At 54.4% G+C, this 24,908-nt stretch overlaps 1 protein-coding gene across 8 annotated transcripts in view; it reads left to right on the plus strand.

The window, feature by feature from the left end:
* DHX34 (DExH-box helicase 34) overlaps window positions 1-15,305 on the plus strand; it is a 33,390-nt gene extending 18,085 nt beyond the window's left edge. For 7 of the 8 annotated variants that reach the window (XM_047439759.1, XM_047439760.1, XM_011527550.3 and 4 more), the window contains 10 exons: window positions 5,331-5,524; window positions 6,200-6,301; window positions 8,067-8,309; window positions 8,525-8,698; window positions 9,044-9,161; window positions 9,701-9,807; window positions 12,311-12,586; window positions 13,417-13,593; window positions 13,787-13,925; window positions 14,581-15,305. In XM_047439759.1, coding sequence (XP_047295715.1) covers window positions 5,331-5,524; window positions 6,200-6,301; window positions 8,067-8,309; window positions 8,525-8,698; window positions 9,044-9,161; window positions 9,701-9,807; window positions 12,311-12,586; window positions 13,417-13,593; window positions 13,787-13,925; window positions 14,581-14,714 — 1,664 coding nt within the window. In that variant the 3' untranslated portion in view covers window positions 14,715-15,305. Of the gene's footprint in view, window positions 1-5,330; window positions 5,525-6,199; window positions 6,302-8,066; window positions 8,310-8,524; window positions 8,699-9,043; window positions 9,162-9,515; window positions 9,591-9,700; window positions 9,808-12,310; window positions 12,587-13,416; window positions 13,594-13,786; window positions 13,926-14,580 lie in introns of those variants that run through there. The other variant, XM_047439761.1, reaches the window with a different exon arrangement.

Raw genomic sequence — 24,908 nt, forward strand, 5'->3', positions numbered from 1 at the left:
AGGAAAAGGCATAGTAGATCAGATGGTGCCTAGTGTTCTGGAGAGAAGAAACAACGGGGTTGGGGAATGGGGAGTTGCAGTTTGTAATACAGGCCTCATGTATAAGGCAGACCTCATGGGGAAGGTAACATCTGTGCAGAGAAATGGAGATGAGGGCTAGGAGCCATGCAAATACTAGAACATGCTTGCCAGCAGAAGTCGAGAAACATGGCCGGCACAGTGGCCCACACCTGTAATCCCAGCACTTTGGGAGGCTGAGGCAGGTAGATCACGAGGTCAGCAGTTCGAGACCAGCCTGGCCAACATGGTGAAACCCTGTCTCTACTAAAAATACAAAAATTAGCTGGGTGTGGTGGCACACGCCTGTAATCCCAGCCACTTGGGAGGGTGAGGTAGGAGAATCGCTTGAACCTGGGAGGTAGAGGTTGCAGTGATGCAGTGAGCCGAGACCATGCCATTGTACTCTAGCCTGGGCGACAGAGCGAGACTCCATCTCAAAAAAAAAAAAAAAAAAAAGCAAAAACAAACAGGTGAGATTCATTTTGATAAAATAGCTGATTCAACCTAATATACCTAAAACATCACAATTTTAACATAATCAATAGAAACATTTTTGCAAGATTTTATGTTATTTTTTACCATACGACGTCTTGGAAATCTTGGTTTGGACCAGCCATGTTCAACTGCTCAGTAGCCATGTGTGGCCAGAGGCGGCCGTATTGGACAGTGCAGATGGTGCATGAGGGTGTTCGGGCAGTGGGAACAGCCAGTACAGAGGCCCTGTGGGGGCACATGCCTGCTGCTACAGGAACAGTGAGGAGCCCCGTGTGGCTGCAGTGGAGTGAGAGGGAGAAGGTGGGAGATGTAACCAACAGTCTCATCATTCATTCATTAAATCCTTTTTTTTTTTTTTTTTTTTTTTTTGAGACTGAGTTTCGCTCTTGTTGCCCAGGCTGGAGTGCAATGGTGCCATCTCGGCTCACCACAACCTCCACCTCTTGAGTTCAAGCGATTCTCCTGCCTCAGCCTCCCGAGTAGCTGGGATTACAGGCATGCGCCACCATGCCCGGCTAATTTTGTATTTTTAGTAGAGCTGGGGTTTCTCTATGTTGGTCAGGCTGGTCTTGAACTCCCGACCTCAGGTGATCTGCCCGCCTTGACCTCCCAAAGTGCTGTGATTACAGGCTTGAGCCACTGCTCCCGGTCCATTGAATGTGTGTGTGTGTGTGTGTATATATATACACACACACACACACACACACATACACACACATATATATACATACACACATATATATACACACACATATATATATGTTTTTTTTTCTTTTTGAGATGGAGTCTCGCTCTGTTGCCCAGGCTGAAGTGCAGTGGTGCAATCCCAGCTCATTGGAACTTCTGCCTCCTGGATTCAAGCAATTCTCCTGCCTCAGCCTCCTGAGTAGCTGAGACTGTAGGTGCCCGCCATCATACCTGGCTAATTTTTGTTTTGTTTTGTTTTGAGACAGTGTTTTTGCTCTGTTGCCTAGGCTGGAGTGCAGTGGTGTGATCTCAGCTAACTGCCACCTCCTGTGTTCAAGCAATTCTCCTGCCTCAGCTTCATGAGTAGCTAAAATTACAGGCTCACGCCACCACGCCTGGCTAATTTTTGTATTTTTAGTAGAGACGGGGTTTCATCATGTTGGCCAGGCTGGTCTCGAAGTCCTGACCTCAAGTGATCTGCCCACCTCAGCCTCCCAAAGTGCTGGGATTGCAGACTTGAGCCACCGTGCCCGGCCAGTATTTGTTTTTTCAGTAGAGAAGGAGTTTCACCATGTTGGTCAGGCTGATCTCAAACTACTGACCTCAAGTGTTCTGCCTGCCTCCCAAAGTGCTGGGATTACAGGCATGAGCCACTGCGCCCGGCCAATATTTGTTTTTTTAGTAGTGTCAAGGTTTCACCATGTCGGCCGTGCTGGTCTTGAACTCCTGACTTTAAGTGATCTGCCCACTTCGGCCTTTCAAACTGCTGGGATTACAGGTGTGAGCCACAGCTCCTGGCCCATTCATTAAATAATTTTTGAGCACCTGCTCTGTGCCAGGTCCTAGTCTAGATGCCAGAGATACAACAGTGAATAAAACAAAACTCCTGCCCTCACGGAGCTCACATGTAACAGGGGAGATGGACAGGGGCAGATAAATGAGTGAAAACACGGAATGTCAGCCGCTGATTGCTGCTCAGGTGGATGCAGGGCACGGTGGGCACAGTGGGGGCTGGGAGCAGTGTTAATTGGCTGTCCTGGGAGGCCAATTAACAGTGACATCTGGGCAGAGGCCTGAAGGAGGGGAGGGGACAGCTGTCCCTCTGGCCCTGGGTCAGGTGAGGAGCTTTGAATTAAATGGGAAGTGTTTAAGTGGAACTGGGTCCTAAGTGGCTGAAGGTGGCCAGAAAATTGATCAGTTGACCTGGCGGTTCTGTGAGGATCTGGAAAGGGCGGGTCCACAGAGGTCGACGGAGACCATTTTCAGTTCCCAGCCCTCCTGATCTCAGGTCTTCAGTAGCCAGTCACAAGCAGATGTGGTGCTCCTCGTCCCCACGCTGTGTCATCAGGAATAGGGCGTTAATCTTGAGGGATTTGGGGCCAGCAGACCCTCTGACCCTGTCGTTCTTGTGTGCACCGTCAGTGTCTCAGGCACTCACCTGACGCTGCAGATGCCACCACCAGAGGCTGGGTGTGGCCTGTGGTGTCTGGCTTGCAAGGCTGTTTCAGAGAATGTGACGCAAAGTGCCCTGGTTGTGCGTGAGTGACAGGAAAGACAGGCTCTCTCGCTTGGATTCCCCAGCACTTGGGGTCATGACAGGGCCTCCCTTGGGAGGCACAGGCAGGTGGAGTACCCAAGATCCCCCAAACGCAGAAAGAAGTCTTGGCTTTTCCACAGCTCAGACCCCTCCCACCTCTCTCCTCTGCACAGCGTGTCCCCAGCTCTGCCCCGCACCCCTCTCTTGCGGGCTCAAGGATGTCAAAACTCTTCCTCTCCCTCATTCCTGAGTCATGCTCACCCCTCCCGGGGAGCTCACTGACTGAGGCTTGTTCATCTTGCCTGATTCTCCTGACTCAAGACTTTCTATTTCCAGCAGCCTGAGGCCCACCATGGCAGGACCACCCATGTATGTGTGTTAACACCATTAAAGCCCCCATCCTTGCAGCACAGCAGGGCTTCAGTGTGGGCAGGAGGCTGGATCCGCTGGACTTGGAGGGCTGCCCAGGCTAAGAAGATGGTTCATTTTTGTTTTATTTATTTATTTATTTATTTAGAGATGGAGTTTCACTCTGTCCTCCAGGCTGGAGTGCAGTGGCATGATCTTGGCTCACTGCAACCTCCACCTCCCGGGTTCAAGTGATCCTCCCACCTCAGCCTCCTGAGTAGCTGGGATTATAGGCATGTGCCACCACACTCAGTTTTTGTATTTTTTAGTAGAAACAGGGTTTCACCACATTGGCCAGGCTAGTCTTGAACTCCTGACCTCAAGTGATCCGCCAGCCTCGGCATCCCTAAGTGCTGGGATTACAGGCGTGAGCCCCTGCGCCCGGCTTCATTTTTGTTTTGGAAGGAAACAGGGCTAGAGCAGGGAGAATCTGAACTGAGAAGCAGAAGAATGTTCTGTGAGCTCTTGCTGTGTGCCGGCGAAAGGCTCTGTGGACTTTCCGTTATTTCATCCTTACCTGCTGAGGGCAGGGCCTCTGATCGCCCCCAGTGTGTAGATGGGGAAACTGAGGCTGGGCCCAGGAGGCTCCTGAGGGCATGGGGAAGCCTGGCTTTGATCGGAGGTGATGGTAAATGCCTCACTCACATTATCTCCCTGAGGGCTGGGGGCAGGTGCCCCCACTTGCCCTGTGGGGAAAACGAGGCTCAGAGAACTGCTGCTCAGGGTCACAGTGGGAACTGAGAGGCACGGATGACCCTGTGCTGGGCGTCCTCTGTGCCAGGTGGAGTTCTGAACGCTTCACAGGGTGAAACACAAAGCATCCTCTTGGCAGCCTGAGGAGAGGCCAATGCTGTTGTTCCCCCGTTTACAGATGGGGAAGCAGCGTCACGGCGAGGTGGGGCCACTTTTCCCTGGTGACAGAGCTGGGGTGTCCTGGAATAGGACAGGGGCCTGCACAGTACAGCCCCAAGCCCTGCTTTACTGCCACCTTTGTTTTATGAGGCCAGCTTTTTTTGTTTGTTTGGTTTTTGAGACGAAGTCTTGCTCTGTTCACTCAGGCTAGAGTGTAATGGCAAGATCTCAGCTCACTGCAGCCTCCGCCTCCAGGGTTCAAGTGATTCTTCTGCCTCAGCCTCCCAAGTAGCTGGGATTACAGGCGCCTGCCACCACACCCAGCTAATTTTTGTATTTTTAGTAGAGATGGAGTTTCACCAGGTTTGCCAGGCTGGTCTCGAACTCCTGACCTCAGGTGATCTGCTTGAGTCCAGTTTTGTGACAGGCACTATGGAAAGTCAGTGAAGGTCAACGGTGGGGGCGGGTCAGACACATGACACAGACCACTAGTTACTGGACAGGTGGGCAAGGGAGCCCCCAGAAGTCCAGCGTCAGCTCGGGCGCCCAGAACCAGGGGATGTCTAGATGCCCGCTGTGGAGCGCTCACAGATGGAGACAGGGTTCACCTGTCTCCAGGTGAGACTCGGCCACCCTGGGAGACGGTTCCTGCCACTTTTCCTCTCTGTGGCCTCCCCTCTGTCCTTCCTCCCCTTTCCCTACCTCTCCCAGCCCCTGCCCCATCTTTCTCCATGTCTTCGCCTTCTGTCCCCTCTTCCTCTTCCACTTCCACCTTGACCTAAACAAAGGCTGCAGGAGAAGATTCATCCTGTGATAAGCACAGGAGTCAGTGCCTGCCTGTGCCAGGGCAGAGCTAGAGGGACTCACTTACAGGTGACACTCTAGCGCGGAGGAGAGACGTCCACCGTGATGGGTCAAAATGAGCTCCTAGAGCAAAGACCAAGCCAGGGAAGCATCAGAGCGCTGGGGGAGTGGGTTGTAAATAGCAAAGTGGGGAACTTGGTGACAGGAGTAGTCAGCGCTTAGACAGTATCTCCTGTGTGTCCAAGGAGGCAGGGACTGGCCATCTCCAATCTACAAATGGGGAAACTGAGGCCCTTGCCCATGGCCACGTGACCAGAAAGCACAGCGCGTGGGTTTGAATCTCCATCTGGGTCACAAGACCCTTAGTGGGCAAGATGGAGGGGGTGGGAGCAGGAGGGCAGGCGGGAGGGCAGGCTGGGGCCCCGAGGGGTGAGGGCTGCGCCTGTCCTGGCACCCAGGAGCCTCAACCCCGTGTCCGCCGCTGCAGGGAAGATGCTGATCCTGGGCTCCATGTTCAGCCTGGTGGAGCCTGTGCTCACCATCGCAGCCGCACTTAGCGTCCAGTCGCCCTTCACCCGCAGCGCCCAGAGCAGCCCAGAGTGCGCGGCAGCACGGCGGCCGCTGGAGAGCGACCAGGGTGACCCCTTCACGCTCTTCAACGTCTTCAACGCCTGGGTGCAGGTGAGGCTGGTGGTGGGGGCCCTCTGTCTGTCACCCTGCTCAGGGCCAAGGCCTTCTGTGGCTGTGGCTCCTCCTCGTGTCCCACCCTCAGCCCCACCCTGGGAGGACCACTGAGCCCCCCACAGACTGGGCCTGCCTGGGGAGGGCCATGTCTCCATCATCCATGCTTTCGGCTCAGGACAGCATGTGCCCAGGCCCGGGGCTGAGAGGAGCCTGGGGTTTCTGAAGCACTGATGAAAACCTGTGCCACCTGGAGAAAGTCCAGGCTCCTTGGGAGGCATCTGGAGATCCAGTATATGTCCCTTGAGTCCTCACCCTAACCCTGGCCCTGTAGTGTAGTGCTGGGGGCCCATCAGTGCCAAAACTACCCTGGCCCTGCCCTCCCGGGGTTCACAGCCCAGTGCAGGGAGACAGACCACTGATGTGACAGTGACAACCCAGAGAGGGCTGGAATGGGGAGTCCAGGGGGCTGGGACAACCCAGCGGGGCATCTAACCCAGTTTGTGGGTAGTCTGGGAGGGCTTCCCATAGGAGGGGGCACTGGGGCTGAGACCTGGAAGCAGGAGAGCAGGTGTCCCTGAGGGATGCCCATTTTGGGGCTCTGGGTGCTCGGTCAGCCCCTCCCTCCCCGCACTGGCCAGGCCCTGACACCCTGGCGTCTGCTCCTCCACCCAGGTGAAATCTGAACGGAGCAGAAACTCTCGCAAGTGGTGCCGCCGCCGGGGCATAGAGGAGCATCGACTGTACGAAATGGCCAACCTTCGGCGCCAGTTCAAGGTGAGGCTCGGGAGGAGGGGTAAGGCCGGCCCCACTCAGGCAGACGTGTGTAAGCACACTCCAGAACACTGCTTCCCCTTCCCAGACAGTGGTCAGACCAGAATCCCACCCTGCACCCACCTCCCCCACCACCCGGTGACCAGGTGTTGGGGCAGCTGGGCAGAGCAAAGGGAGCAGAAATCCAGGAGGGCTTCCTGGAGGGGTGGACCGAGTCAGTGGACATGCAGCATCCTCGGGAAGAGCTCGCCCTCCGGACTGGGGATGCTGAGCTGGCTGCATGGGCATGGTGTTGGAGGCAGCCTACGGTTGTGGTTGGCCGGCACATCTGGAGCCAGACACCTCAGCCACAGATCCCAGCTCTGCCATTTCTGACAGCGTGGCCCCGGGTGTGTTACTGCTTGTCTCTGGGCCTCAGCTTCCCCTCGATAAAAAGAGAGGATAAAAATAGCACTTGCCAGCCGGGCGTGGTGGCTCACGCCTATAATCCTAGCACTTTGGGAGGGCGAGGTGGGTGGATCACGAGGTCAGGAGATCGTGACCATCCTGGACAACATGGTAAAACTCCGTCTCTTCTAAAAATACAAAAATTAGCCAGGCATGGTGGCACGTGCCTGTAATCCCAGCTACTTGGGAGGCTGAAGCAGGAGAGTCGTTTGAACCCAGGAGGTGGAGGTTGTGGTGAGCCGAGATTGAGCCATTGCACTCCAGCCTGGGCAACAAGAGCGAAACTCCACTCAAAAAAAAAAAAAAAAAAAGATTTGGGTTTCTCCTGCGCCCACACAGTTCTGCAGCTTGTTTCATAGATACTGTTCTCCATCTGAGTGCAGACAGACCTGCTGTTAGGTCCTTTTCCATGGTTGTATCCATGGATTGAGAATAGAATAAAAGGGTTCCTGGTGTAATCCATTCTGTTTGGTTGGAGATGGGCAAGCTGAGGCCCAGAGGGGGCAGTCACCCAGCCGACACCTCCGGTACCATTTCTGGGGTCCCGGTGTTGGGGACCACAGATGCCCCGATTGCTCTGAGCATGGGTCCCGAGTTCTCTCTGGCTGCTAGAGCAGTGTTCAGGCTTCATTGGTCCCCAGATGCTTTGAGAATCTAATGGAAAGTGTGAGCCCTTTGCACCCACATGCACACATACAGACACACATGCACGCACAATCTCCTGTGTCCTCCATCGGTCAGGGCTCAGCAGGAAACAGAAGGTCCAACCAAATTGGGTCACTTGAGGAATGTTGACAAGATGTGGGCACGGGGAGGGCAGGGGTCTCAGATTTTATGGGTCACAGGCAGCTGGAGGGTCTGTTGGGTCCAGATGGCCAACCCCGCCGAGCCCCCTCCTCTCTCCACTTGGTCGTTCTGGGATGAGGCCCAGGACTTGGCATTCCCAGCATGTGCCTAGATGCCCCAGGGCTACACTCAGAAGCACTAGTGCAGGACGCCCACCAGGGCTGTGTGGGAAAGCAGGGCCCCCCAGACCCAAGGGGCAGGTGGGGCAGTCAGCAGAGCCTGGAGCCAGCTGTGGGAAAAGGCACTGGACGCCCGCACCTGCCTCCTCTTGCCCCTGGCCCCGGTGTTCCCTCCACTGACCAGCGAGGACAGCTCTCTCTCTGGAGCAGCGATCCATGCCCAGCACCATGCGAGGGGCTGTTTTCAGCCCCCTTTGGGCACTAGCAGCCCTGCCACTGGGAGGGTCCCCATTTCCATGAGTCCAGAGCCCACTGAGTCTGCCCTGAGGCCCTCACCCCTACCCACCTGCCCCTAGGAGCTGTTGGAGGACCACGGGCTGCTGGCTGGGGCCCAGGCCGCGCAGGTAGGGGACAGCTACAGTCGGTTGCAGCAGCGCCGGGAGCGCCGGGCCCTGCACCAGCTGAAACGCCAGCACGAGGAGGGCGCGGGGCGCAGGCGCAAGGTGCTGCGGCTGCAGGAGGAGCAGGACGGCGGCTCCAGTGACGAGGACAGGGCTGGCCCAGCCCCCCCAGGGGCCAGTGATGGCGTGGACATCCAGGTGGGCGCCATGGGCTGTGGGGTGTGGGGGTTTACCAAGGTGGGCCTTGGCCTCTCCTGGGGGGGTCCCAGGGGACATGGCCCTGTCCTCATTTCAGGAGCCGGGTTTCCATGGACGGTGCTTGGTCCCAGGTATCTGCAGAGCCTGGGGGTCTGCGGATCATGGTAGGAGCCCCTCAGGTCCCCTAAGACTCTGCCTCCCCGTGCTCCCCCCAGGATGTGAAGTTCAAGCTTCGGCATGACCTGGCGCAGCTGCAGGCCGCTGCCAGCTCAGCCCAGGACCTGAGCCGCGAGCAGCTGGCTCTGCTGAAGCTGGTGCTGGGCCGGGGCCTGTACCCACAGCTGGCCGTCCCCGACGCCTTCAACAGCAGCCGAAAGGACTCAGACCAGGTGGGGCCTGTTCTGCCCCATCCTATGTTTTGTCCTCCAACACACGAACCCTGAGTGCCTGTCCTGTGCCGGGAATGCAGTGGTGACTGAAACAACCCTGGTTCTGTCCCCATGGGGCTCACAACCCAGTGGGAGGACAGACCCATCCCCAGACAACCCAGAGTGGGCAGGGCTTGGGGAGTCAAGAGCACTATAGGAGCCCACAGGGGGCATCTGCCCCAGATTTGGAGGAGTCAGGGAGGGCTTCCTGGAGGAGGGAACCTGGGCCAGAGGGTGGAGGAGAGGCATCCTGGGCAGAGGAGAGAGCAGATAGGAGGGCTTGTGCTTTCTCTCTGTCCTCCGCAGATTTTCCACACGCAGGCCAAGCAGGGCGCCGTGCTGCACCCCACCTGCGTCTTCGCTGGCAGCCCCGAGGTGCTGCACGCACAGGAGCTGGAGGCCAGCAACTGCGACGGAAGCCGAGGTACAGTGAGCCCAGGCGGAAGGAACCCCCATCCGGGATGTGAGGGGCAGGGATACCGTGAACTCCCAGGCCCCTCTGGCTGGGGCTCCCACACCGGCCCAGGCTGGTATTGACGGGGGCCCACAGGAGGGGAAGTTCCAGGGCCAGGCCTCCCTGGGTAGCCTTGGGTGACTCACCCCTGCTGGGCCTCACCTTCCGCATGGTGGTGATAGTCAACCTAAGCCAGTGTGGCTGTGCCCAGAGAGTGAGCACCGGTCAGGGGGCCTGTCCTATGGACTCTGTGAGCTCCCAGGTGGGTCCTGCAGAGGGAGGCCCCCCTGGCACCCGTGTGCATGGAAGGGTGTCTCGCTGCAGGCATGGCTGCGTGCTGGGAGTCACATTCAGATTTGGCTGACCTTCTTGTCTGAGCCAGGCCACCAAAGCCATGCCGTAAGCATACTCTTTCTATCGATGTGTACTTTGACCGGGTGGGACAGGCGGGCTTCTGATGGGCCTGGGTGGGCCAGGGTGGGCCTGAGCGGTCCTCCTCAACCTTTCAGACGACAAGGACAAGATGAGCAGCAAACACCAGCTCCTCAGCTTCGTGTCCCTGCTGGAGACCAACAAGCCGTACCTGGTGAACTGCGTCCGCATCCCTGCCCTCCAGGTGGGCCTCTGCCCCACCCCGCCCCCATGCCCAGATATGAGAGCTGCGTTGCCCAGGGTGGTGGGTGGGGGCACCGCGTGGGCTTGGAGGGGCCACCTGGCACCTGGGCTGGCCGCAGGCGTCAGCCTTGGGCCGTTGCTGTGGCTGCTTTTTCTCTCATTCATGGACTTGCTCAACAGTTAACCTGCCAAGTGCCTGCTGGGTGCCAGGCGCTGTGCCAGGTGCCAAGGGCGCAGCAGGGAACCAGGCATGAAGCCCAGCCCCTGCCCTCTCGGGCTCTAGTGGCAGGGGACAGTGACAGCAGTAGCACAGTGATGCCCTGAGCGACGTGTGGGAGGGTGGACACAGGGTGTGGTACAAGATAAGGCCACCTGGTGTCCCCAGGCAGAGACCCAAAGAGGAGAGCGTGTGGATCTCGGGGCAGAGTGTTCCAGGCAGTGGGGTGGCCTGCACAGAGGCTCCGAGGCAGACATGTGCCTGGCGTGCAGTCAGCAAGGGAGAGCGTGTGGAGATGAGGCCAGAGAGGCGAGGGAGACAGGACCCTGGGGACTTCTCAGAGCTGGGACAGGGTCCCAGCCAGGAGGGCTGGCAGCTGCCAGGAGGGAGAGGAGGGTGCTGCCCCGGTGGAGGCTGAGGCCGAACTCAGATCATGGATGCCCTTGCATGGGCACCGGCAGCAGAGCCATGGGCCCCATGGCAGCCACTGCCCTGCCCCTAGTGCTCCTCGAGCGTCTTTGTGATCCTAGGCCTGGCCTCGGAGTCCTCACGCAGCCCTGTGGGTCTCCCTTTATAGAGGGGACTGAAGCTCAGGCAGGGGCGGGGATACGTCACCTAAGTCACACACCGAGCAGGTGGCCAAGCCAGAGCTCCTGGGTCACACTGCCCCCTCCTGCCTCCTGGCTCACTACCAGCACTCCCCGGCTTGGGTCCCAGGGAACGTGGAGGGGAGAGAGGAACCTGCAGGCTCCTAGAGCCTCAGGGTTTTGTTGACACTGCGATTGCCACCAACACCACAAAAGCCAGCTCAGCTCAGTCACTTCTGTGTGTGTCCACACCTCCCTCGAGCCCGTCTGGTGGGCCAGGCACTGTTAGTGTTCAGTGTTCTGGGGCCGGGGGTGCAGCTGTGGTCAATGTCAACCAAACTCCCCACCCTCATGGGGCTCAGATAGGATGGTAGAGGCAGACGGCAAACCAAAAGGGTGATGCCAGGTGCTCATGTGAGCATGGGAAAGCAGGCAGCACGCAGGCCGAGGGACAGAGGATTGGCGACCAGCCGGGCCGCAGGAAGCGGAACAGACCTGCTACCTGAGGCGCTCTCTCCCTGCACTGGACTGCTTGTTGAGAGAATCTGGCCAGCTCACACCTGGAATCCCAGCACCTTGGGAGGCTGAGGTGGGAGGATTGTTTGAGCCCAGGAGTTCAAAGGCAGCCTGGGCAACATAGGGAGACTCTATCTATCTCTACAAAAAATTTTAAAAAGTTAGCTGGGCGTGGTGTTGTGTGCCTGTAATCCCAGCTACTCGGGAGGCTGAGGCAGGAGGATTGCTTGAGCCTGGGAGATTGAGGCTGCAGTGAGCTGTGATTGTTGACACTGCACTCCAGCCTGGGTGACAGAGTGAGACACTGTCTCAAAAAATAATAAGCCGGGCATGGTGGCTCACGCCTATAATCCCGGCACTTTGGGAGGCCGAGGTGTGTGGATCAGTTGAGGCCAGGAGTTTGGGACCAGCCTAGCCAATGTGGTGAAACCCCATCTCTACTAAAAATACAAAAATTAGCCGGGTGGGTGGCGCGTGCCTGTAATCCCAGCTACTAGGGAGGCTGAGGCAGGAAAATCGCTTGAACCTGGGAGGTGGAGGTTGCAGTGAGCCAAGATTGCGCCATTGCATTCCAGCCTGGGCAACAGAGTGAGACTCATCTCAAATAAATAAATAAATTAATAATAATAATAATAAGAAGAAGAAGATGGAGAAACTTCACATTCACATAAGCAGGCAGAACAGTATATGGAGCCCTCCTGTACCATCCCCGGTCCCCAAACCATCCACGCATGGCCAGTCCTGCCCTTTCCTCTGCCCTGGCCCCAGCCCTGAGGATTTTCCCCAACATCTTATGAGCCACAGCACTGGTAATTACAGCGCTGACTTCCGTCCTCACAGAGGAGCGTGTGCTCAGGGTCTGGGCTCTCCCTGCACGTCGTGTGTGTCTGAGTGCCTGCTGTCCCTCTGCCACCCTGCCTGAGAATGCAGCTGTCTCTCTCCCAGCACGCTCCCATCTGCCGCCCCGCCACCCCAGCCCCCTTCCCTGACTCAGCGGCTGCCTTGTTCATGCCGTATCCCCAGCACCCGAAGGGGTGCCTGGTACAGCGGGTAGATGGCGGGTAGGTGGATGCCTCACATAGACAGGGCTGGTGGGTGGGCAGGAGCCCAGCCGGGCAGGGCCTGTCTCCAATAGCGCCCTGCCCCTCCCACCTACTCCCTGTCTTCTGCCCCCTCTCTTTCAGTCCCTCCTGCTTTTTAGCCGGTCTTTGGACACCAATGGTGACTGCTCCCGCCTGGTGGCCGATGGCTGGCTGGAGCTGCAGCTAGCAGACAGTGAAAGTGCCATCCGACTCCTGGCGGCTTCCCTGCGGCTCCGTGCCCGCTGGGAAAGTGCCCTGGACCGGCAGCTGGCGCACCAGGCCCAGCAGCAGCTGGAGGAGGAGGAGGAGGATACGCCAGTCAGCCCCAAGGAGGTGGCCACCCTGAGCAAGGAACTCCTGCAATTCACGGCATCCAAGGTACCCTCCACCAGGGTGCCCGTGCCTCCCTATGGCCAGAAGGGGCATCCGTCACTGGGCTTGAGCCTCGGGAAGGCCTGGCTTCCCATTCACTCCACATGGGCACATTTGGGGGTTTTCAGGCCACAGAGGTTCAGTCACTTACACAAGGTCACTCCACTGGTCTGGGTGGAGCTAGGATTTGATCCCAGGAGCCTGGTTCCAGAGGCCACACTACCCACTGCTGCCTTGTTTACTAAGCACCTTCTGCAAGCGTGGCTGATCCCCTCTTGCTAACAGTAAAGGACAGGCAGGGTGTGAGAGGGAAGCCGTAGACGTCTGCTTGTGGATGGGAAGAACTGAACTGAGCAGACTTGAAACCAGCCCCTGACTCTTAGGTGGGGAGTGGAAATTGCTCGTGGTTCTACTTCATGTGGGTGGGGTGGGGAGAAGGGTACAATCCAGGCTGACTTCCTGGAGTAGAAGGGCTTGAGGACAAAGGAGCAGGAACCCAGTGAGCCATGGAGAGGGGACCAAGGCTGACATGCTAGGAGGAGGAGGGGGGAGGTGGCCAGACTTGAAGGTTAGACTCAAGGTCTGAATGGGGTCCCACCAGTGACAGGGGCAGAAGAGGGGCCTGGGGAGGGCAATTTAGATGGGGGTGGGTTATCAGGTATATTCTAGACAGACCCCTGGTCATGTGTGTCTGCAGCCAAATTGTGATTGGTGTAAGCACTTGGCTCCCGTAACTGCAAAGCCCGAGGGAGGGCTTCAGGCACAGCTGGATCCAGGTGCTTTGGCGGCATCTCCCTGAGTCTGTCTCTCTCCATTTCCTGTCTCTCCTTCCTTAGATTCCTTACAGCCTCCGGCGGCTCACAGGGCTAGAAGTCCAGAACATGTATGTGGGACCCCAGACCATCCCAGCCACCCCCCATCTTCCTGGCCTCTTTGGCAGCTCCACCCTGTCCCCCCACCCCACAAAGGGGGGCTACGCAGTCACTGACTTCCTCACCTACAACTGCCTCACGGTAAGCATGAACCCTCCTTCCCTGAAGGTGGGATTTCAGGAAGACCCCACCACCCCGTTTCACCTTAGTCCAGGGACATAGTTCCCAAGTGGGGCCCGTGGCCCTGAGGGCTTCTGGGAAGGGTCCCGGGGGGGCACTTGGGTGGTGGGTGGCACTTGGCGGGGGCCCAGCCCTGACAGCTGGCCTGCCACAGAATGACACAGACCTGTACAGCGACTGTCTCCGAACCTTCTGGACCTGCCCCCACTGTGGCCTGCATGCGCCCCTCACGCCCCTGGAGCGCATCGCCCATGAGAACACCTGCCCCCAGGCCCCACAGGATGGGCCCCCAGGTAAGCACAGGACTGTGGGGACCCGGCCACCTCTGCCCAGCCGTCTGCCCATCCCATGATGGTCTCCTGTGCGTGTGAGCACTTGCTAGAGCTTCGAGGACTGACGACCTCCACCCGCTGGCCCTGGCTGGTGCCACACACAGGCCTTGTCCTGAAGATCAGGAGCCCAAGGCAGGGAGAGCCTGGAGCGCCACCTCTTTCTGTCTGCCTGTCCCCTGTGGTGTCTCTGTGTTGCTGTCTTTGTCTCTGTTTCTGTCTCTCTGTGGCTATGTCTCTTGTTATTTTTCTCTGTCCTGCAGCTATCTCTGCCTTGGTCACCTCCACCCTGTTGTCACCCAGGGATGCCACACACTGGGGTTCAGTGGGGGAGATAGCACTGGGGCCACATGCCTCCATCCCCGGCTGGCTGTGTCTGCCTCTCAGTCTCCATGTCTCTCCTTGTGTCTTTCTCTCTGTCTCTCTCACTGGCAGGGATGCGGAGTAAAGACAGACCTGTGTATTTTTATTAATCTGGGAGGGCTTCCTGGAGGAGGCAAAACTGGGTTCTCCAAAGGCCAGGAGAGAACCTGAGCCCCACAGGTGCCTGGCATTTGGGTGCAGGTAGACCTGTGCACTGGAACACGCCCCTCACAGCCTCCTCCTTTTCCTCCCTTAGGGGCTGAGGAAGCTGCCCTCGAAACCCTCCAGAAGACATCTGTCCTGCAGAGGCCCTACCACTGCGAGGCCTGCGGGAAGGACTTCCTCTTTACACCCACAGAGGTGCTGCGCCACCGGAAGCAGCACGTGTGAGCTGGGCCAGGAGCCCTGCCCACCTCCGTGCAGCTGACCTGCCCTCCAGCCCAGGACTAGGGGCAGGACTCTTGCCTGAACCCCCAGCCTGGGCTTAGCCCTGTGGTCCTGTCCCAGTGCAGAGGGCCTGGAGCACGGATTGTGAATAAAGCCTCACATGCTGATACACACTGTTAGGCCTGCACCTGCCCATCCAGAAAGCAGCAGCTGCCTTGTTAGTCCTCCCCAGGGTCTAGCTTTCCTTCTTCCTGCTGCAGGGTGCTGCCTGAGGGGTCCTGGGTAGGAGGGGCGTTAGAGCCAGCAGGGACCTCCCATGTCTCCAGATTCCAGGTGCAGGTTCTTAGCACCTCCGCAGCCGCTCTCTCTTGAGTCCATCCTCAGTCTCTCCTACCCCTTGAAGTAGGGGGACCCTGAATTTGCCCATCCACCTGGGTCACTTTGAGAGTTGTGCAGGGGGGCTGGGAGCACTGGTGTTCACGTGGGACCACAGGCTGCACCATAAGACCCACTCACAATAAAAAAATAAAAGGCCGAGCCGGGCATGGTTGCTCACTCCCGTAATAAAAAAATAAAAGAACAGGCTGAGCCGGGCATGGTTGCTCACTCCCGTAATCCCAGCACTTTGGGAGGCTGAGGCGGGTGGATCGCCTGAGGTCAGGAGTTCGAGACCAGCCTGGCCAACATAGTGAAACCCTGTCTCTACTAGAAATACAAAAACTTAGCTGGGTGTGGTGGTGGGCATCTTTAATCCCAGCTACTGGGGAGGCTGAGGCAGGGGAATCACTTGAACCTGGGAGGCAGAGGTTGCAATGAGCTGAGATCATGCCATTGCACTCCAGCCTGGGCGACAAGAGTGAAACTCCATCTCAAAAAAAAAAAAAAAAAAATCAGGCTGAGGCAGGTGGTTTGCCTGAGCTCAGGAGTTTGAGACCAGCCTGGGCAACACGGTGAAACCCCATCTCTATTAAAATACAAAAAATTAGCTGGGCGTGGCAGCGTGTGCCTGTAATCCCAGCTATTCAGGAGGCTGAGACAGGAGAATTGCTAGAACCCAGGAGGCGGAGGTTGCTTGTGAGCCGAGATCGTGCCACTGCACTCCAGCCTGGGTGACAGAGCGAGACTCCATCTCTAAAAGAAAAAAAGAAAATGAAAAGAACAATAAAATCACTCAGGAGAAAAAGAAGGCACGGCATAGGAATGGAAGGAGGACAACCTGTAGGTCCTACAGATGCGAAAAGGAGAAGAGAATACGATAAACAACGTGCCACACAGAAATTCACTCATTTGAAATGGAAAAAATTATTGAAAGACACTAGCTACCCAAAGCTCATTCAGGAAGAAATAGATAACCGGAACAACTCTATTAAGGAAATGTAATTCATAGTTAACAAAGAGAACAGGCTCAGATGGGCTCCCTGGTGACGTCTACCAAACATGGAAATGATACTCGCCCACACCCACTTGGCCACAGCATAGGGGAGGACGCCTCCTGACTGATGTTATGAGGTCAGCATTATCCTGCTGCTAAAAGCAGGCTATGACAATGCAAGAAAAGAAAACTCTAAGCCTTATGAACATAGACAAAAACCCTAAATAGGAGTTCAGCACATCATATTTAGCAATATATAAATACAGTACATCATGGCCAACTGGGGCTTATTCTAGGAATGGAAGGTTGATTTAACATTTGAAAATCAATCTGATTCACCATATTAGAAACAGAAAAAAAAAAAAAGGTTGGGCATGGTGGTTCATGCCTGTAATTCCAGCACTTTGGGAGGCCGATAAGGGTGGATCAGTTGAGTCCAGGAGTTCCAGACTGGGATGGGGAACATAGCAAGACCCTGTCTCTATTAAAAAACACAAAAATTAGCCAGGTGTGGTGGTGCACGCCTATAGTCCCAGCTGCTCGGGAGGCTGAGGTGGGAAGATCACTTGGTGTCAGAAGGCAGACATTGCAGTGAGCTGAGATTGTGCCACTGCACTCCAGCCTGGGCAACAGAGCAAGACCCCATCTCAAAGAAAAAAAGTATATAAACCCCTAGTCTTAGTCAGGGAGATGGATTTGAGAGTCATTTCCCATCTCCTTGGCTGCACATCTCATTAAAGCCTTCTTCTTGGCAATACTCGCTTTAGTGATTGGCTTTCTGTGCGACCAGCAGCAGGACCTGGACTGAACCCCTGATTTTTGGTAACAGATTCCATTCAACAGTTTTTTTTTTTTTTTTTTTTTTTTTTTTTTTTTTTTTTTTTTTGAGGCAGGGTCTCGTTCTGTTGCCCGGGCTGGAGTGCAGTGGTGCAATCTCAGCTTACTGCAGCCTCCACCTCCTGGGCTCAAGTGATCCTCCCAAATCAGTCTCCCAAGTACCTGGGATTACAGGCATGTGCCACCATGCCCAGCTAATTTTTGGGTGTGAATAGGTTTTTTTGTTTGTTTTTTGTAGAGAGTTTCACCATGATGCCCAGGTTGGTCTGGAACCATGGGCTTCCTTTCTTTCCAAGGAAGAAGGCTTTAATCAGATGCGTGGCTGAGGAGATGGGAAATCAGTCTCAAATCCGTCTCCCTAACTAAAACTAGGGGTTTATATACTTTTTTTCTTTGAGATGGGGTCTTGCTCTGTTGCCCAGGCTGGAGTGCAGTGGCACAATCTCAGCTCACTGCAATGTCTGCCTTCTGACACCAAGTGATCTTCCCACCTCAGCCTCCCGAGTAGCTGGGACTATAAGCGTGCACCACCACACCTGGCTAAATTTTGTGTTTGGTGATCTGCCCACCTCAGCTTCCCAAAATGCTGAGATTACAGGTGTGAGCCACTGCACCCGGCTCATTCAACAGTATTTATTTAATTTATTTATTTTTGAGGCGGAGTTTCGCTCTTGTTGCTGAGGCTGGAGTGCAATGGCTCAATCTCGGCTCACTGCAACCTCCGCCTCCCGGGTTCAAGTGGTTCTCCTGCCTCAGCCTCCCAAGTACCTGGGATTACAGGCGAGTGTCACCACACCCAGCTAATTTTGTATTTTTAGTAGAGACGGGGGTTTCTCTATGTTGGTCAGGCTGGTCTCGAACTCCCGACCTCAGGTGATCTGCCCGCCTCAGCCTCCTAAAAATGTTGAGATTACAGGCATGAGCCACCACGCTCAGCCTCAACAGTCTTTTAAAATGTTCCTCTTGAAGGCTAACATGCACAAATTATAAGTAAACAGCTTGGTGAATTTTCCCAGATGAAACATACCTGTGCCAGCAGCACCCAGATAAAAAAATAAAACACCAGCAGCCCTCCACCCGCTGCAGCCCAGCTCCTCCGTCTCCCAGGAGTGTCCAATATTCTTTTTTTTTGAGATGGAGTTTTGCTCTTGTCGCCCAGGCTGGAGTGCAACGGTGCAATCTCGGCTCCCTGCAACCTCTGCTTCTGGGATTCAAGCAATTCTCCTGCCTCAGCCTTCCGAGTATGTGGGATTACAGGCACCCGCCACCATGCCCAGCTAATTTTGCATTTTTAGTAGAGACGGGTTTTCACCATGTTGGCCAAGTTGGTCTTGAACTACTGACCTCAGGTGATCCTCCCGCCTCAGCCTCCCAAAGTGCTGGGATTACAGGCGTGAGCCACTGCACCCGGCCGTGACCAACATTCTTAATCTGTCCTCTAGTGCTGGCCACTCTAAAACTTCACAAGAATGTGCTGTCTGTGTCTAGCTTCTTTTACCCAACATGAGGTTGCATGGGCTTGGTTCATTCATTCTGTTCCATGAATTCATCACAATATATCCATTCTTTTGTCCAGGGACATTTGGCTTCCAGAAACCTACCCCTAACACCAGCCCTTCCCTCCCTCTGCAGAACAAAGGCCCCATCAGAGGGGACGTGCTGGGTGTCAGCGTCAGCTTCTGGGAGGAGGAAGGTCAGAGCTAAGGCCTGAAGGATGATGAGGTATCAGGTGGGTGGAGGGGAGACGCTCAGGAGGTGGGAAAGGCGGAGGTGCACAGGCTTGGTTCCAGGTACAAATAACGTTACTAGGAGCACACAGTACCTGGATTTTGATGAATACATTGTACATTTCTGTCCTGTATGTATCCAGGGTTATAGGACGTGATTATAGGACACGCATATATGTTTGGTTTTAGTGGACTCTTAAAAATTGTTTTCCAGGGGCCGGGCACAGTGGCTTACGCCTGTAATCCCAGCACTTTGGGAGGCCTAGGCGGGCAGATCACCTGAGGTCAGGAGTTCAAGATCAGCCTGACCAACATGGAGAAACCCCGTCTCTATTGGGAGGCCGAGGCGGGAGGATCACAAAGTCAGGAGATCGAGACCATCCTGGCTAACACGGTGAAACCCCGTCTCTACTAAAAATACAAAAAAATTAGCTGGGCGTGGTGGCGGGCGCCTGTAGTCCCAGCTACTCGGGAGGCTGAGGCAGGAGAATGGAGTGAACCCGGGAGGCAGAGCTTGCAGTGAGCCAAGATCGTGCCACTGCACTCCAGCCTGGTTGACAGAGCAAGACTCCGTCTCAAAAAAGAAAAAAAAAAAAAAAAAGAAAACCCGTCTCTACTAAAAATACAAAATTTAGCCAGGCATGGTGGCGCATGCCTGTAATCCCAGCTACTCCAGAGGCTGAGGCAGGAGAATTGCTTGAACCCGGGAGGCGGAGGTTGTGGTGAGCTGAGGTTGCGGTGAGCTGAGATTGCGCCATTGCACTCCAGCCTGGGCAACAAGAGCAAAACTCCGCCTCAAAAAAAAAAAGAAATTGTTTTCCAGGCCAGGTGCAGTAGCTCACACCTGTAATCCCAGCACTTTAGGAGGCTGAGGCGGGCGGATCACGAGGTCAGGAGTTTGAGATCAGCCTGGCCAACACGGTGAAACCTTGTCTCTATGAAAAATTCAAAAATTAGCCAGGTGTGGTGGCGGGCACCTGTAATCCCAGCTACTTGGGAGGCTGAGGCAGGAGAATCGCTTGAACCCAGGAGGTGGAGGTTGCAGTGAGCCAAGATTGCACTACTGCACTCCAGCATTGATGACAGATCTAGACTCCATCTCAAAAAAAAAAAAGAAAAAAAAAAAGAGTTGTTTACATATTCCTGAAACAAGTCGTTTGTTAGATATGCATATTGTAAATATTTTCTCCAAGTCTATACTTGCCTTTTCATTTCATTATTTCTATTTTTTGTAGAGACAGGCAGGGTCTTGCTGTGTTACCCAGGCTGGTCTCAAACTCCTGGCCTCAAGTGATCCTTCCGCCTCAGCCTCCCAAAATGCTGGGATTACAGGTGTGAAACAGTGCGCCTGACCCATCTTTATCATTTTCTTAACAGTATCTTTTGCAGAGCAGAATTTGTTTTTTTGAGACAGGGTCTCACTGTGTTGCCCAGGCTGGAATGCAGTGGTGTGATCATGGCTCACTGCAGCCTCGACCTGCCCGGGCTCAGGTGATCCTCTCACCTCAGCCTCCTGAGTAGCTGGGACTAGACGCACATGCTACCACACCTGGCTAATTTTTGTTTTTTTTTGTAGAGATGAGGTTTTGCCATATTGCCCAGCCTGGTCTTGACTTCCTGGGGCTCAAGTGATCCTCTCACCTTGGCATCCCAAAGTGCTGGGATTACAGGCATGAACTACTGCACCTGACCCACGTTTATCATTTTCTTAACAGTGTCTTTTGCGGAGCAGAAGTTGTTGTTGTTGTTGTTGTTTTGAGATAGGGTCTCACTGTGTTGCCCAGGCTGGAGTGCAGTGGCATAATCACAGCTCACTGCAGCCTCAGCCTCCTTGGGCTCAGGTGATTCTCCCAGTTCAGCCTCCTGAGTAGCTGGGACTACAGGCAGGTGCCACCACACCCAACTAATTTTTGTATTTTTTGTAGAGATGGCATCTGGCCATGTTGCCCAGGCTGGTCTCGAACTGGGCTTAAGCAATCCTCCCACGTTGGCCTTCCAAAGTGCTGGGATTACAGGTGTGAGTTGCTGCTCCTGGACAAGAGAAGTTTTGTATTTTGATGGAATTTCAAATTATCATTTTCTTTTGTCATTTCTACTTTTTCTGTTCTACCTAACAAATCTTTGCCTACCCTCAAGATCATGAAGTTTTTTCTTATGTTTTCTTCTAGTTTAATAGTTTTAGATTTTTAATATAAACCGTTAGGTCTGTGGTCCATTTCCAGTTAGGCATTGTGTATGATGTGAGTTAACGCTCATGGCTCATTTTTCTGCATATGGATGTCTAATGGTTCCAGAACCATTTTTTGAAAAAAGTATTCATTTCCCCATTGAATTAATTTAATACCTTTACTGAAAATCAGTAGACTAGGCTGGGCGCAGTGGCTCACGCCAGTAATCCCAGCACTTTGGGAGGCTGAAGCGGGCAGATCACTTGAGGTCAGGAGTTCAAGACCAGCCTGGCCAACATGGTGAAACCCTGTCTGTATGAAAAATCCAAAAATTAGCTGGGTGTGGTGGCATGCGCCTGTAGTCCCAGCTACTTGGGAGGCTGAGGCGGGAGGATCGCTTGAACCTGGGAGCAGAGGTTACAGTGAGCTGAGATCGCACCATTGCACTCCAGCCTGGGCGACAGAGCGAAACTCCGTCTCAGAGTAAATAAATAAGCAAAAATTAGCCTGGCATGGTGGTGGGCACCTGTAATCCCAGCTACTCAGGAGGCTGAGGCAGGAGAATCACTTGAACTTGGGAGGCAGAGGTTGCAGTGAGCTGAGCCGAGATCACGCCACTGCCCTCCAGCCTGGGCAACACAGTGAGACTCTGTCTCAAAAAAAAAAAGAGACAGATTCTCGCTTTCGCTTTGTCATCTGGGGTGGAGTGCAATAGAGCAATGGCTCAATCTCAGCTCACTGCAACCTCCACTTCCTGGATTCAAGTGATTCTCATGCTGCAGCCTCCAAAGTAGCTGGAATTACAGGCAAGCACCACCACGCCCAGCTAATTTTTTATTTTTATTATTTTTTATTTTTTTATTTTTTGTAGGGACAGGTTTTCACTCTGTTGGCCAGGCTGGTCTCAAACTCCTGGCTTCAAGTGATCTGCCTGCCTCAGCCTCCCAAAGTGTTGGGATTACAGGCGTGAGCTACCGCGCCTGGTCGGTTCTTCTTTAATTTAGCAATATTTCATAATTTTCAGAATACAGATCTTGCACAAACATAGTGCAGGCGCCCAGGCCACAGTTTCCCCTCACCAGGGGCCAACCATTGCTGAATCACAGAGAGCCCTGTGGGCCGGGAGTAGGCAAGGAGAATGTTGTCATCCTCATTTTGTATGGCTGCTTTATCATTTGTAAAAGGAAGTTAAGGATCGTTCCCACCTCACAAGTTGTTGTTGAGAGTTGATGCATTAGTCCACGTGCTTAGAGCAGGGATTGGCACATAAACGGTTCTCAGCAAACATCAGCTACAGTGATCACTAAGGCAACAGGAAAAGTAACCAACATTTGACTGTCACTCTTCTTCTGTGACATCAGAGACAAATAGGGCTACTTCCCAAGTCAGCAATATGGGTATAGGTTTTCTCTCTTACCTGCTGCACCCAATGAGTCCGTAGGCCCTGTCCTTCCTCCCTCCATCTTCTGCTGTGTGTGTGTGCGCACGTGTGTTTGAGACAGAGTCTTTTACTGTCACCCAGGATGGAGTGCAGTAGTGCAATCTCGGCTCACTGCAACCTCCGCCTCCCAGATTCAAACAATTCTTGTGCCTCAGCCTCCCAAGTAGCTGAGACTACAGGCATGCACCACCACGCCTGGCTAAACTTTTTGTATTTTTAGTAGAGGTGGGGTTTCACTATGTTGGCCAGGCTGGTCTTGAATTCCTGGGCTCAAGCGATCCTCCCACCTCTGCCTCCCAAAGTGCTGGGATTACAGGCGTGAGCCACTGCACCCAGCCATGTTTTGCTGTTTACCCCCTGCCAGTTGCTGTAGCAGCCACACACTGACCATCCCTGGAAGGTGACACATGCTCATTTTGGTGACACCCTCATCTCCAAAATGCCTGGCTCTGTTTCCCAATATCCTTTCTCTCTTTTTTTTTTTTAGATGGAGTCTTGCTCTGTCATGCAGGCTGGAGTGCAGTGGCACCATCTCAGCTCACTGCAGGCTCTGCCTCCTGGGTTCAAATGATTGTCCTGCCTCAGCCTCCTGAGTAGCTGGGATTATAAATGCCCGCCACCACGCCTGGCTAATTTTTGTATTTTTAGTAGAGACAGGGATTCACCATGTTGGCCAGGCTGGTCTCGAACTCCTGACCTCAAGTGATCCTCCCACCTCGGCCTCCCAAAGTACTGGGATTACAGGCATGAGCCACCATGCTGGGCCCCAATATCCTTTATGCACCTTCCTGCAGTCCCTGGATGAGCCCCTCCCTCCCTGTGCTCCTCCCCTCCTCGCCACCCTCTCGCCTCCACTCTGCCTCCCTGTGTACCAAAACCCCACAGACTGGATGACTTGAAACAACAGATCTCTCACATTCTTGGGGGCCAGAAATTGGAAGTCAAGGTGTTGGCTGGGCTGAGCTCCCTCGGGAACCTGCCAGGAGTCTTCCCTGCCTCTCTCTAGCTTCTGTCACACTGCCGGCAGTCCCCTTTTATAGAAGGGCATGTGTCATATTGGACCAGAGCCCACCCTATGACCTCATCTGAAAAGACCCTTTTTCCAAATAAGGTCACATGCACAGGCGCTGGGAAGAGGAATTAGCATACCCTCTGGCGGGACACAATTCAACCCATCCTACCCCGTCTAATCCACTGGAGGGATAAAGCGCTAGCCCGACTCTGTCCCTTCTCTGCTCAGAGTTCTTCCAGGACAATGAAATATCATTCAGCAATGAAAAGGAATGACAGGCTGGGCGTGGTGACTCACGCCTTTAATCCTAGCTCTTTGGGAGGCTGAGGCTTAAGCCCAGGAGATCGAGACCAGCCTGGACAACATAGTGAGACCCCATCTCTACAAAAGATACAAAAAATAGCTGGGCGTGGTGGTATATGCCTGTAGTCCTAGCTATTTGAGAGGCTGAGGTGGGAAGATCGCTTGAGCCTGGGTGATCCAGGTTGCAGTGAGCCGAGATCACACCACTGCACTCAGCCTGGGCAACGGAGCGAGACCCTGTCTCTAAAAAAGAAACAAAACAAAAAATACACACAAAAAAATGGAATGACTGACAGACACTACAGCAGTGCTGCAGCTGGAAGACATGCTACTGAAAGAAGCCAGTCACAAAGGGCAGTGTAGCGTGATTCCACTTACGTGAAATGTCCAGAATAGGCAAACCCATGGAGACAGAAAGGGGATTAGTGGTTGCCGAGGACTGGGGGCCGGCGATCACTGTTAGGAGGTTCAGAGTTTCTTTTGGGGATGTTGAAAATATTCTAGAATTGATTGTGGTGACAGGTGCACAACCCTATAAATACACTAAAAGCCATTGAACTGTACGCTTTAAATGGGTGAATTTTATGTATGAATCAGGTCTCAATGAAGCTGTTAACAAAAAGAACTCTATGGCTCTCCAGCGCCCCCTGGAGGGATGCAGGATCATTGCCTTCCCTCAAGGTTCCACCAGGCCGGCCTCCCTTCCGCGGCTCCCTCTATCCTGTCAGGGCCTGTGCACCTCCGCCTTCCCCATCTCCTGAGCTTCTCCCCTCCACCCACATCACGCCTCATCATCCTTCAGGTCTTAGCTCCCACCTTCCTCCTCCCGGAAGCCGACCCTGACGCCCAGCATGTCCCCTCTGATGGGGCCTTTGTTCTGCAGAGGGAGGGGAGGGGCTGGTGTTAGGGGTGGATTCCTGGAATTCTTTTTAAAAATGTATTATCTTTAGAGATAGAGTCTCATTCTGTTGCCCAGGCTGGAGTGCAGTGGCACAATCACAGCTCACTGCAGCCTCGACCTCCTGGGCTCAAGTGATCCTCCTGCCTCAGCCTCCCGAGTAGCTGGGACCACAGGCCTGCACCACCACATCTGGCTAATTGTTTAAACTTTTTGTAGAGACAGGTCTCACTATGTTGCCCAGGCTAGTCTCGAACTCCTGGCCTTAAGAGATTCTCCCACCTGGGCCTCCCAATGTGTTGGGATTACTGGCATGAACCACCGCCCGGCCAAGTCATAGCACTCTGGTGGCTGCTCTGACTCTGCTGTCCAAGCGGTAACCACCCACCTTGCCTTTGGTCATTAAGTTCTGTCACTTGGTCCCTGCCACCCTGAGATC

This window comes from Homo sapiens, chromosome 19, assembly GCF_000001405.40.
Source record: "Homo sapiens chromosome 19, GRCh38.p14 Primary Assembly".
NCBI classification, from domain to species: domain Eukaryota; kingdom Metazoa; phylum Chordata; class Mammalia; order Primates; family Hominidae; genus Homo; species Homo sapiens.